Genomic DNA, 14,202 nt, shown 5'->3' on the forward strand with positions numbered 1-14,202 from the left:
CTTGAGCCCCAGAGTTCGAGGCTGCAGTGAGCCAAGATTGTGCTGCTGCATTCCAGCCTGTGTGTAGAGTGAGACCCTGTCTCAAAAAATAAAAATTAAAAATAAAAATTAATTAAAAAAAAATAGGGCTGGGCGCTATGGCTTATGCCTGTAATCCCAGCACTTTGGGAGGCCGACACGGGCGGATCACAAGGTCAGGAGATCAAGACCATCCTGGCTAACACGGTGAAACCCTGTCTCTACTAAAAATTAGCCAGGTGTGGTGGCGGGCGCCTGTAGTCCCAGCTACTCGGGAGGTTGAGGCACGAGAATGGCGTGAACCCGGGAGGCGGAGCTTGCAGTGAGCCGAGATCACGCCACTACACTCCAGCCTGGGCGACGGAGCAAGACTCCGTCCGTCTCAAAAAAAAAAAGAGCAGTAAGAACCTGTGAGGAATTTTAAGCTGAACAATGATATGATCACAGTTGAGCTGTGGAAAAATTACTGTGTACCAGAAAGAAGGAATTGAAGGGGGAAGTCCAGAAACAGGAAAGCTATTTAGGAGATCGTTTGACTGATGATGGCCTGACCTCCAGTTCCAATATAGTGTGGTGTTTGCAAAAGCACAGGCAGGGGAGATGCAGAATTGCTCTGCTAGGGCAATGAGAAGAGACAAGAGAGGTACCAGGAGGAAGGGAGGGGGTGATTCCGCTGAACAAAGAAGGATGTGTGTCTGCCTACGTGCTAGGGGAGCAGGGAAGTAGCTGGAGCCTGACATTGTGAGTGTCCATCATGTGTCAGGCACTTGACATGTACTACCTCATCTGATTTAATAGTTGTAATAGTGCCTTGGGGGTTTGTAAAGACAGTTTTCCTGTCTTTAACATGAAGGTGACCATGGTACTTTCCTATTATTTTACTACCACTATTTTTACAACAAAAGAAAGTGAAAGATATGCGTTGGACAGATAGGATGAGTCGGAGCAAAAATAATTTTCTATTTAACCAAAGCTAAATTACTCACCCTGAGTCAACTAGCTGAAAAGTGGCAGATTTAGATTTTCTGATTCTTAGTCTGGTTCTTTATCCCTGACTGTAAACACCACACTGTCTCCTTGTGCACTGCTCTATGAAATGGCTGTTCGTTTTCAGAATTGGCCTTCCAGTGCCAGGTGAGTTAACGCCTTTTCATGTCTCAACAGGTTGCATCTTGACTATAAAACCCATTAAGTGCTGTTTTGATTAAATTCTAAGAAGTGTCAGTTTGGCAGATTATGTCCCTGTAAGTGGGTCCAATTTGCTTGTCTTAAAAGTTTCAGAGAGATCTTTGATCTCTCAAGACAGATTCACGGGAACTGAGTTCTTGGTATTAAAATGGCATTTGAAAGCATAGTAATAGGTGAAGATAGCCATACGATAGTGATATCTCAGGAGTTTCTGCCTTTCTGCTACCAATAAAAAGGGGGGGTGCCAGGTGTGGTGGCTCATGCCTGTAATCCCAGCACTTTGGGAAGCCGAGGTGGGCGGATCGCTTGAGCCCAGGAGTTTGAGATCAGTCTGGGCAACTTGGTGAAACCCCATCTCTACAAAAAAATTACCTGGACATGGTGTAGTCCTATGTACTCAGGAGGCTGAGGTGGGAGGATCACTTGAGCCCGGGAAGTTGAGGCTGCACTGAGCAGCTGTGATTTGGCCACTGCACTCCCACCTGGGCAACAGAGTGAAACCCTGTCTCAAAAAATAATAAGTTAGTATTTTAGACAGCAGAAGGAAAAAGTGTCCTTTGCAAAGCAAATAATTTTTTTAAGTAACAACTCTTTTGAGATATAAATTACAGACCATACTCCTCATCCATTTCAAGTAAACAATAGGCCAGGCATGGTGGCTCACGCCGGTAATTCCAGCACTTTGGGAGGCAGAGGCAGGCAGATACCTGACATCAGGAGTTCGAGACCAGCCTGGCCAACGTGGTGAAACTCCGTTTCCACTAAAAATTCAAAAAAAAGTAGCCAGGTGTGGTGGTGGTGGGCAGCTGTAATTCCAGCTACTCGGGAGGCTGAGGCAGCAGAATCGATTGAACGTTGTGGGTGGAAGTTGCAGTGAACAGACATCGCGCCATTGCACTCCAGTCTGGGCTACAAGAGCTAGACTCTGTCTTTAAATAAATAAACAATAAATTGGTTTTCAGTACAGAGTTCTACAACCATTTTCACAATCAATTTTACAAAATTTTCATCACCCCCAAAAGAAACCTCATAACCTTCAACAGTCATTTCCCATTTCCCTCCAATCCCCTCAGCCCTAGGCAGCCACCAGTCTACTTGCTGTCTCTGTGGATTTGCCTGTTCTGGACATTTCATATTGATAGAATCATACACTATTTGTCTTTTTGTGTCTAGTGTTTTACTTGCATAATGTTTTCAGGGTTCCTTCATGTTATAACAAGTGTCCGTACTCCATTCTTTTTATTGTTGGATAACACTCCATTGTATGGATAAACCACATTTTGTTGATCAGCTGATGGACGTTTGATTGTTCCCACTTTCCCTGTTAGGAATAATGTTGTTATCAACACTCATAAGTTTTTGTATGGACCTATGTTTTCAGTTGAGACTGATTTTTTTTTTTTTTTTTTGAGACCAAGTCTTGCTCTGTCGCCCAGGCTAGAGTGCAGTGATGTGATCTCGGCTCACTGCAACCTCTGCTTCCTGGGTTCAAGGGATTCTCTTGCCTCAGCCTCCTGAGTAGCTGGGACTACAGGTGCCTGGCTAATTTTTGCATTTTTAGTAGAGATAGGGTTTCACCTTATTGGCCAGGCTGATCTCGAATTTCTGACCTTGTGATCCACCCATTTCGGCCTCCCAAAGTGCTGGGATTACAGGCATGAGCCACTGCGCCCGGCCTGAGATTGATTTTTTTAAAACTGACCTTTGTCTTATCCTTGTGTTCTTCAGTAAAGCTAATACCAATCTATGTATGTACCGTATAAAAATAGATCATTTTTCTTTCCGAGATGTTGAATGTGCACAAAAAGTGGTTCAGAGAAAAAAGCCACACTTGTTAATTCCATCTGTAAATCTATGATTCAAGGACCATTTCAGTGAGGGGTAACTTCACCCCGCAGATACTAGACACAAGGGAATTTAGTTTAGGTCTTGCTCTGCCTCTTTCTCTTGGAGAAATGATTCTTCCTGAGCCTGTACTCCCACATATAAATCTGAGGCTCGTCACTCTTTCATAACACACATTGATCACACTTTATTTTACATCTGCATTCCTCTCCAGATTATATACTCCATGAACAAGAAACAATAGAAAACAAAAAGACTATCAGTATCTCCTCCTCTAACTCAAATGTAAGAATAAAATGAAAAAATAGTTTTTCATCCAGCAGTTTTAAATTTCCTATAAAAGATGCTCCATAAATCCAAAGTACTAGTATTTCAAACATTCCTAGTTAGATTTAGTTAACTAGACAGAGATTAAGAAAATGCCAGGGGGCCAGCCATGGTGGCTCACGCCTATAATCCCAGCACTTTGGGAGGCTTAGGCGGACAGATCACCTGAGGTTGGGAGTTCGAGGCCAGCCTGACCAACATGGAGAAACCCCGTCTCTACTAAAAATAAAAAATTAACCGGATGTGGTGGCACATGCCTGTAATCCCAGCTACTCGAGAAGCTGAGGCAGGAGAATCGCTTGAACCTAGGAGGCGGAGGTTGCGGTGAGCCCAGATTGCACCATTGCACTCCACCCTGGGCAACGAGAGCGAAACTCCATCTCAAAAAAAATAAATAAATAAAATAAAAAGAAAATGCTGAGGGGAATAAAACTGCTGTAAAGAATAATGCATCATTGAATTTTTTTTTTACTGTGGTAAAATATGCATCGTAACATAGAAGTTACCAGTGTTGGCCTGGCATGTTGGCTCACACCTGTAATCCCAGCACTTTGTGAGGCCAAGGTGGGCAGATCACCTGAGGTCAGGAGTTTGAGACCAGCCTGACCAACATGGTGAAACCCTGTCTCTACTAAAAATACAAAAAAATTAGCTGGGCTTCGTGGCGCACACCTGTAATCCCAGCTACCGGGGAGGCTGAGACAAGAGAATTGCTTGAACCCAGGAGACGGAGGTTGCAGTGAGCTGAGATGGTGCCACTGCACTCCAGCCTGGGCAACAGAGTGAGACTCCATCTCAAAAAATCATAATAATTTACCAGTGCTGCAGCTCTTTTTAGAATTTGTCTAGCAAGTTTTCCTGTTTTTACTGAAGCCTTCCCTTCCCTTCCAAATAACAAAAAGTACACTTTTTTTTTTTTTAAGAGTTCGGGTGGGCCGAGACGGGCGGATCACGAGGTCAGGAGATAGAGACCATCCTGGCTGACACGGTGAAACCCCGTCTCTACTAAAAATACAAAAATTAGCCGGGCATGGTGGCGCGCGCCTGTAGTCCCAGCTACTTGGGAGGCTGAGGCAGGAGAGTGGCGTGAACCCGGGAGGCGGAGCTTGCAGTGAGTCGAGATCGCGCCACTGCGCTCCAGCCTGGGCGACAGAGCGAGACTCCGTCTCAAAAAAAAAAAGAGTTCGGGTGTAATTCTGTCACCCAGGCTGGGGTGCAGTGGCACAAGCATAGCTCACTTTAGCCTCAAAATCCTGGGCTTAAGTGATCCAACCACCTCAGCTAGCTAGGACTACAGACACACAGGTACCATCGTGACCAGCTAATTTTTTTAAAAAAACTTTTTATGGAGACAGGTCTCAAACTGGTGGCCTCAAGCAGTCCTTCTGCCTCAGCCTCCCAAAGTGCTAGGAGTTCAAGCACGAGCCACTGTGCCCTGCCTAAATTTTTTTTGTTTTGTTTTTTTGAGACAGAGTCTCTGTCTCCCAGGCTATAGTACAGTGGCACAGTCTCGGCTCGCTGCAAGCTCCGCCTCCCAGGTTCAAGCGATTCTCCTGCCTCAGCCTCCTGAGTAGCTGGGACTACAGGTGCGTGCCACCACACCCGGCTAATTTTTTGTATTTTAGTAGAGATGGGGTTTCACCATGTTAGCCAGGATGGTCTCAATCTCCTGACTTCGTGATCTGCCCACCTCAGCCTCCCAAAGTGCTGGGATTACAGGCATGAGCCACCGCGCCCAGCCTGCCCTGCCTAAAATTTACAACTTTAATCAATTTTAAGTGTGAGATTCAGTGACATTAAGTGTATTAACAATGTTGTGCAACCATCACTACCATCCATCTCCAGAACTTTTTCATCATCCCAGAGACTTCACACCCATTCAAGATAATTCCTCATTCTCCCCTGCCCCCAGCCCCTAGTAACCTCTATTCTACTTTCTGTCTCTATGAATTTGCCTGTTTTATGTATTTGGACAAAATAGTTGTGTTTACGGTCAGAATAGTTAAGAATGTTTTAAGCAAGAAAATTAAAACTATCTTTGTTTCAAAGACCTTTTTTAAACAGTGTTGGCAGTGCTAACAGTTCTTCCTTTTCTGCTAGATATCTCTGAAAGTGTGAACTTCGATGAGGAGACTGATGGAATATCCCAGTCAGCATGTTTAGAAAGACCCAATTCTGCATCAAGCCAGAATTCAACCGTATGTAGTTCTGAAACTTCTTCCATTAGAGCTAATTTGACTCTTTCTCAAACATATCTTCAGTATTTATTTATTTATTATTATTATGTATTTTTTGAGGTGGAGTCTCGCTCTGTCACCCAGGCTGGAGTGCAGTGGCATGATCTCAGCTCACTGCAAACTCCGCCTCCCGGGTTCACGCCATTCTCCTGCCTCAATCTCCCGAGTAGCTGGGACTACAGGCGCCCGCCATGACACCCGGCTAATTTTTTGTATTTTTAGTAGAGACAGGGTTTCACCATGTTTGCCAGGATGGTCTCGATCTCCTGACCTCGTGATCCGCCCGCCTCAGCCTCCCAAAGTGCTGGGATTACAGGCATGAGCCACCGTGCCCAGCCCTCAAACATATCTTCAGTATTTAAATACCATTACTGAGTGAGGGTTCCTTCAGAAGTGTAAGCTCAAATTTAGTTTATGATCTAATTTTTTCTGTCTCAGGTCAGCTATTGTGAGGCTTTGTCCCATTTTGATACTTACTCTTCATTACTCTCAATATTCATATACTTAATTTAACTTTTCAGTTTTCCTCATTCTGTCAGAAGACTGAAGACACGGGTAAATTACTAAGTTGCTTTGTCCACTAAGTGTTTTTCAAAGAGAATCAGATTTTGAGTCTCGGCCTGTTGTTGCTCATGTATGGCTGTCCTTTCAGGATACAGGCACTTCCGGTTCTGCTACTGCCGCCCAACCAGCTGATAACCTCCTGGGAGACATAGACGACCTGGAGGACTTTGTGTATAGTCCTGCCCCTCAAGGTGTCACAGTAAGATGTCGGATAATCCGGGATAAAAGGGGAATGGATCGGGGTCTCTTCCCCACCTACTATATGTACTTGGAAAAAGAAGAAAATCAGAAGGTATGAGAATTGATTTCTAAGAAAACTCTTGAGAGAGAGAAGAATGTTGTGGGAATAGATTGTTGATGGGCCTTAGGGAACTAACTCTGGTATTAGACCAAGCCAGCTGGAAGTAGATTGTATCTTTCAGTCCCCAGATGCTGTGTTCTCATTTTCTGCAAAGAGCTCATGGTCTAATAGGCAGCAAGCTCTACCCTCCCACAAATAAGAGCTTTATCCACGAAGTGGGAAAATGGACGGGTAGTTGTTAATGTAATTATTTTCACCTGTCTCCCATGATTGAGTTTTTGAATGTTACTGTTTGTTCTTTTGGTTTTTCTTTTTATTACGGAAGAACATGACATTGTGGAAGGAGAGTGAGTTTTAGGGAATAGGAGGAATTAGAAATACAGAAGGACCTACAAGTTAAATGTCTTGTTTCTCACCCTAGAAGTTCTAATTTATTTTATAAGTTTGAGCCAGCGATGAACTTTATTTTATTAATTTTGTATTAATACCAGGTCTTAACAGATGATTTTAAGAGCCTAGAAATAAGATAATGATACTAGGTGTTAATTCTTCTAACCACCATTTATTGAGTGTTTACGACAGACCAAGCATATGCATATATATCTATATATATTATCACCTGTAATCCTTGCAGCCACCTTGTTAGGTAGGATTTCTTACCTCTGCTTTAAAGATGAGGTAACTGGGGCTTAGGGAGTGACTTACCTACCCCACGTTGCACTAAGTGGTGGCAGAGCCAAATTCAAACCTATTTTGCATAATTCTAAAGTCTTCCTGCTTAGCCACTGCCACTCTCCTGCTTCCCTATTATGGTCCTAGTCTAGGAGAGTTTAGGAAGGATGCCTATATAGGATGGTATTCATGCCATTGAGGTCACAGTGGTTTAACACAACAGCAGTATAGAAAAAAGAGTATTTCCTCCCTGGAGAGGCTTCCCTTTTGTCCCTTCTTGCCCTTTGCCTAATCAGAGTCTTTCCTGATGTGCTTCACCAGATGTGGTTGACATTCCTCTGTCTGTGTCCCCATGGCATGAAGAAAGCTATCACAGGCCAGGTGCGGTGGCTCACACGTATGATCCCAGCACTTCGGGAGGCTGAGGCAGGTGGATCCCTTGAGGACATGAGCTCGAGACCAGCTTGGCTAACATGGGGAGACCCTGCCTCTAGCAAAAAATTAAAAAATTAGCCAGGAGTGGTGGCATGCACCTGTAGTTCCAGCTACTCGGGAGGCTGAGGCAGGAAAATCACTTGAACCTGGGAGGCAGAGGTTGCAGTGAGCTGTGATTGCACCACTGCACTCTAGCCTGGGTGACAGAGTGAGACCCTATCTCAAAAAAAAAAAAAAAAAAAAGCCATCACAGTAAAGAATGGGAAGGTTTTCAGGATCCTGTCTCTCCTAAGGTTGGAAAGACTCTTAATCATGGCATTGGATGAACATTGATTGTTATTTATTTATTGGATTTTGCAAGGTTGCCCAGGCTGGCCTTGAACTCCTGGACTCCAGTGATCCCTCTACCTCAGCCTCCCAAGCAGCTGGGATTATAGGCTCATGCCACCTGGCCCAGCTTTGGAGATTTTTTTTTTAACTGGAAGTTTTAGGGATGAAGTTGTAACTAATTATATGGAGAATCAAGCTAGTGAATTTAGAAAAACTGTATAGGAAGAAAACCCTGATAGTGAATTATTTTATTTTTATTTTTTATTTTTTTTTTGAGACAGAGTCTCATTCTGTCACCCAGGCTGGAGTGCAATGGCATGATCTCGGCTCACTGCAAGCTCCGCCTCCTGGGTTCATGCCATTCTCCTGCCTCAGCCTCCTGAGTAGCTGGGACTGCAGGCGTCTGCAACCACGCCCAGCTAATTTTTTGTATTTTTAGTAGAGACAGGGTTTACGGTGTTAGCCAGGATGGTCTCGATCTCCTGACCTTGTGATCTGCCCACCTCGGCCTCCCAAAGTGCTGGGATTACAGGCGTGAGCCACCACACCCTGCCTGATAGTGAATTCTGATAAGAGAGTTAGAGAAAGGGATAAAGGCCCAAAGATTAACAGCTTGACATATGCTGAGGACTTGCTAAGCACTGGCTGAATGAATATGTAGGACAACCATGACCAGAGGTGGGGCAGGTTCTCTGGACTTCATTTTTGACTGACACTTTTTCTTTTCCCAGATATTTCTTCTTGCAGCTAGAAAGCGGAAAAAGAGCAAAACAGCCAACTACCTTATCTCCATTGATCCAGTTGATTTATCTCGTGAAGGAGAAAGTTATGTCGGCAAGCTTAGGTGAAAGCAACCTTAGATCACTGTCCTATTCTTTCTGATAGTCTTATTCCTATAGTTGCAGAACAGTCCTTATCTTGGTTACAACTAGCATGTATTGATGTTGTAATCTTAAAAAAAAAGAAAAAGGAAAAAAAAAAAAGCTGGGCGCAGTGGCTCACACCTGTAATCCCAGCACTTTGAGAGGCCAAGGCGGGCGGATCACTTGAAGTCAGGAGTTGGAGTCCAGCCTGGCCAACATGGCAGAACTCCCTCTCTACTAAAAATACAAAAATCAGCCAGGTGTGGTAGAACAGCCTGTAATTCCAGCTACCCGGGAGGCTGAAGCACGAGAATTGCTTGAATCCAGGAGGCAGAGGTTGCCGTGAGCCAAGATAGTGCCACTGCACCCCAGCCTGGGTAACAGAATGAGAGTCTGTCTCAAAAAAATAAAAAAATAAGGCTGGTGTGGTGGCTCAGGCCTATAATCCCAGCATTTGGGGAGGCTGAGGTGGAGGATCACTTGAGGCCAGGAGTTTGAGACCAGCCTGGGCAACACACTGAGACATTATCTCTTCAAAAAACTTTAAAATTAGCCAGGCGTGGCAGTTCTCACCTGTAGCCCCAGCTACCCAGGAGGCTAAGGTGGGAGGATGACTTGAGCCTGGGAGTTTGAGGCTGCAGTGAGCTATGATCCCTGCCACTGCACTCCAGCCTGGGCGACAGAGCGAGACCCTGTCTCGAATTAGTAAGTAAATAAAAAGTTAAAAGAAAATCTCAGTTCCTTCCTTGCTTTAATGAGATATTTTTGAAAAAGTGATGATGAACATTGAGACATTTGGAAAACAGGCAAATAGGCTTCCATTTTCCTTCTCTTAGATTGTGTTTGTATAAGAAAAAAAATACAGATCATCATGGTGACTTTTTCTCCTGACTCCAGATCCAACCTCATGGGGACCAAGTTTACAGTTTATGACCGTGGCATCTGCCCCATGAAGGGCCGGGGTTTGGTAGGAGCGGCCCACACCCGGCAGGAGCTGGCTGCCATCTCCTATGTGAGTGCTGCTTTCCCAGGGCCGCTGCCTGCCCTCCTGGTGTCCTGCTGGCACTTTTCACCTAGTGTCGCTGAAGAACCTCCCCTCCCAAGCTTGTTTCTATTTCTGTGATTTCTGTTGCTGTACCATTTTCTCCATGTATTTGAGTTTTAGTTATTTGAATTGCCAAGTTCAATTATTTTTCACTCTCAGAACATTTCTTCCCTTATTTCCTTTTCTTTTTTCCTGCTGCCACTTAATTCAGACCTTTACTTCTTACCCAGTGGCCAAAGGTTACAATAAATTAAAGCTGATCTTTTTTTGCTTTTAATCTTTTCCTATCTAGTTCATTCTCTTTTTTCTCTTTTTAATCTCTTTTTCTTATTTTTTTTCCTCTTTTTGGCATTTATAGTCCACTTCTTTTTAAATTGTATCTTATTATTATTTGTTTTATTGTCCTTTTTCATTTCATTTCACACCCGGGAAAGGCTTGAGAACTATCTAGCTCGTTCTCTGCTGCCACCAAATGAATCTTCCTACAACGAGGCTCCAGTTGATCCTCCTGTTCTGCTTCAAATCTTTTAGTGACTACCCATTGTGTGAGATCTAACATGGTAGCATTTGCTTTCAGACTTCTCTATTGGCATGCCCCTCCTTCCCATCATTCTAGCCAAGCAGCCCTCCTGTCATTCCTTTGTCCAACCACACTCATCTTTCCTCCTTGGAGAGGCTTCCCTTTTCCTCTTTCTGGCCTTTTGCCTTATCAAAGTCTTTTCTGATGTACTCCACTAGATGTGGTTGACATTCCTTCATCTGCGTCCTTGTAGCATTTGTAACCCACATGTATTTGTTATTACTTGTTCAACATGAACCGTTTCCACCAGTTTGTAAACTTGTGAATTCTTACTCATGGCTATATCCATACTAGCACATGGCTTGGCACACAGTAGATATTCAAAGAGTTGTTGAGTAAGAGAAAGCAAGAAGGAATTGACCCATCTCAGCTGGTTTTTTTATTCCAAAGTCTCAACTTTCTTAAGTTGAAATTAATCCCATGAGATCTTATCTACATGCCTGAGAACCATTTGACTTCACACTTTAATGTAAGGTGTCTTTCCTCTATAGCTTTCATATATAATCTGCTTGGCTTGGCTGGGCTTGGTGGCTCACACCTGTAATCCCAGCACTTTGGGAGGCTGAGGTGGGCAGATCACTTGAGCCCAGGAGAGACCAGCCTAGGCAACATGGTGAAACCCCATCTCTACTAAAAATACAAAAATTAGCCGGGCATGGTGGCAGTCGCTGGAGTCCCAGCTACTGGGGGCACTGAGGCAAGAGGATCACCTGAGTCTTAGGAGGGTCGAGGCTGCAGTGAGCCGTGATCACACCATGCACTCTAGCCTGGGCGACAGCATGAGACCCTGTTTAAAAAATAATAATAATCGGCCAGGCGTGGTGGCTCACGCCTGTAATCCCAGCACTTTGGGAGGCCGAGGCCGGTGGATCACCTGAAGTCAGGAGGTGGAGACCAGCCTGGCCAACATGGCAAAAACCCGTCTCTACTAAAAATACAAAAAAAATTAGCCAGGCGTGGTGGCAGGCACCTGTAATCCCAGCTACTCGGGAGGCTGAGGCAGGAGAATCGCTTGAACCCAGGAGGCAGAGGTTGCAATGAGCCAAGATTGTGCCACTGCACTCCAGCCTGGGTGACAGAGCAAGACGCCATCTCAAAATAAAATAAGAATAATCTGCTTGGCTTGACAGGCATTTTTAATACCTAGTGCAGGCCTTATTTAACCACAACTAATTTTCACTGTATGTAATATAGTGCTATGCCCTCACTGGGAAATAAATATGTGTTGGTGCTGACAAAGTTGAACAGTTTGTTCACAGTTATCTCAAATCACATTTAAGACTCAAGAGTAAGAGGCCGGGCGTGGTGGCTCACTCCTGTAGTCACAGCACCTTGGGAGGCCAAGATGGGCGGATCACCTGAGGTCGGGAATTCGAGACCAACATGGAGAAACCCCGTCTCGACTAAAAAAAAAAAAAAAATACAAAATTAGCCGGGTGTGGTGGCGCATGCCTATAATCCCAGCTACTCAGGCTGAGGCAGGAAAATTGCTTGAACCCGGGAGGCGGAGGTTGTGGTGAGCTGAGATTGTGCCATTATACTCCAGCCTGGGCAACAAGAGTGAAACTCTGGTCCCAAAAAAAAAATAGTTAAGAGTAAACTCTCAAGCCAAGAGATTCTGTTTTAAATGTAGGTGTTTAAAGAAGGTATAGGCCAGGTGCAGTGGCTCACGCCTGTAATCCCAGCACTTTGGGAGGCTGAGGCAGGCAGATCACGAGGTCAGGAGATCGAGACCATCCTAGCCAACTTGGTGAAACCCCGTCTCTACTAAAAATACAAAAAATAATTAGCCAGGCGTGGTGGCATGCGCCTGTAGTCCCAGGCTGAGGCACAGGAATCGCTTGAACCCAGGAGGTGGAGATTGGAGGTTGCAGTGAGCTGAGATTGTGCCACTGCACTCCAGCCTGGCGACAGAGCGTGACTCTGTCTCAAAAAAAAAAAGAGAAGTATAAAGAGATATAATATTACTTTCCTGTTTTTGATTCTGTTTACAGCAAAGTAATAAAATTATTTTTGGTACACCTGATTTTTTTTTTTTTTTTTTTTTTTTTTTTTTTCTGAGGCAGAGTCTCACTCTTGTCGCCCAGGCTGGAGTGCAACGGCGTGATCTCGGCTCACTGCAGCCTCTGCCTCCTGGGTTCAAGCAATTCTCCTGCCTCAGCCTCCCGAGTAGCTGGGATTACAGGCGCCTGCCACCACGCCTGGCTAATTTTTGTATTTTTAGTAGAGACAGGGTTTCACCATGTTGGCCAGGCTGGTCTCAAACTCCTGACCTCAGGTTATCTGCCCACCTCGGCCTCCCAAAGTGCTGGGATTATAGGCGTGATCCACTGCCCCGGCTGATACAGCTGATATTGTCAGCATCTTACATTCCCAAGAAAGTCTCATGTTATAAAAGAATGTGGTCTCTATTTTTTTCCTGTTTCCAAGTTCTGCTTTGTTTTCCTATCTTCCAGGAAACAAACGTACTTGGATTTAAAGGTCCTAGGAAAATGTCTGTGATCATTCCTGGAATGACACTGAATCATAAGCAGATCCCCTATCAGCCACAAAACGTGAGTAAGAATGTATTTAAATCAGTGAAAGACTCTAAAAGACAGTAGTACAATACACAGAGATTAATACAAAAAAAAAAAAAAAGATTGAGCTTCCAGAGCCCCACACTGGAGATAGCTCCATACACTTCTTTAGGAAAGCTGCCCCTCCAAAACCTCAGGATAAGAGCAGTTGCAGAGTCATTGCCTTGAAACCATTTTTTCTACAAAGAGAAATGCTGGATGATGTAGAATAATTTTAAAAAAAACCTGTCTTCATTGTTGGCTTTCATTCTTCGCTTCTGGTTTACCCTTTCTGAAATGGAGAAAGTATTCTCCTACTCTACCTTCTACCTCGTAGAGTTGGAGTTCTCAGTACAAAGTAATGATTTTCCCTTTGGACAGAACCATGACAGTTTGCTCTCAAGGTGGCAGAACAGAACTATGGAAAATCTGGTTGAGCTGCACAACAAGGCCCCCGTCTGGAACAGTGACACTCAGTCCTATGTCCTCAACTTCCGTGGCCGGGTCACTCAGGCGTCTGTGAAGAACTTCCAGATAGTCCACAAAAATGACCGTAAGCCTCCAGGAGGGGTTGGGTGGGAAGAGGAGGACAGATGCTCTTACAGGATGGGAATGCACATTCCCTGTACATGATAGGAAGTGACAGTCAGCAGATAATCATGGAGGAGAGACAGGATTTCTTTGGAAAGATGAAACTACAGTTTTAGAGAAAACTTGTAAATCACTGTGTTGAGGAGGGGAGAGGAGTGTGAGAGAGATGCTATAGCAAATCAGAGAAGTTGGCTGGGCACCATGGCTCACGTCTGTAATCCCAGCACTTTGGGAGGCCGAGGTGGGCAGATCGCTTGAGACCAGCCTGGGCAACATGGTGTGAAACCCCATCTCTACAAAAAATAGAAAAATTAGCTGGGCGTGGTGGCAGGCACTTGTAGTCCCAGCTACCCGGGAGGCTGAGGTGGGAGCATCACTTGAGCCAGGAGGTCGAGGCTGCAGTGAGCTGAGATTGCATCACTGCTCTCCAGCCTGGGTGACAGCAAGAACCTGTCTCAGAAAAAAATAAAAAATCAGAGAAGTCATAGAGTAGGTTGTTTGGGAAACAAAGGCAAATGACCCCAATAAAGGTTCCTGGCAGCTCTAGCCTGCGGAGTTTATGACATTCCCAGCAAGCTGCTCTCTATTCTACAGAAACCTGGTGATTAACTGGCCTATTTGGAGGATTCTTTCTGTATCATAAATAGG

At 44.6% G+C, this 14,202-nt stretch overlaps 1 protein-coding gene and 1 non-coding gene across 3 annotated transcripts in view; both read left to right on the forward strand.

The window, feature by feature from the left end:
• Window positions 1-14,202, forward strand: part of TULP3 (TUB like protein 3) — a 50,248-nt gene that overhangs the window by 33,879 nt on the left and 2,167 nt on the right. For both annotated transcript variants that reach the window (NM_003324.5, NM_001160408.2), the window contains exons 5-10: window positions 5,479-5,576; window positions 6,268-6,471; window positions 8,649-8,761; window positions 9,678-9,792; window positions 12,862-12,960; window positions 13,345-13,516. In NM_003324.5, coding sequence (NP_003315.2) covers window positions 5,479-5,576; window positions 6,268-6,471; window positions 8,649-8,761; window positions 9,678-9,792; window positions 12,862-12,960; window positions 13,345-13,516 — 801 coding nt within the window. The remainder of the gene's footprint in view (window positions 1-5,478; window positions 5,577-6,267; window positions 6,472-8,648; window positions 8,762-9,677; window positions 9,793-12,861; window positions 12,961-13,344; window positions 13,517-14,202) is intronic.
• LOC124903097 (U7 small nuclear RNA) lies at window positions 4,196-4,256 on the forward strand. Its single transcript, XR_007063620.1, has one exon. It is a non-coding gene; the product is annotated as a U7 small nuclear RNA (small nuclear RNA).

This window comes from Homo sapiens, chromosome 12 (genome assembly GCF_000001405.40).
Source record: "Homo sapiens chromosome 12, GRCh38.p14 Primary Assembly".
In the NCBI taxonomy this organism is placed as follows: domain Eukaryota; kingdom Metazoa; phylum Chordata; class Mammalia; order Primates; family Hominidae; genus Homo; species Homo sapiens.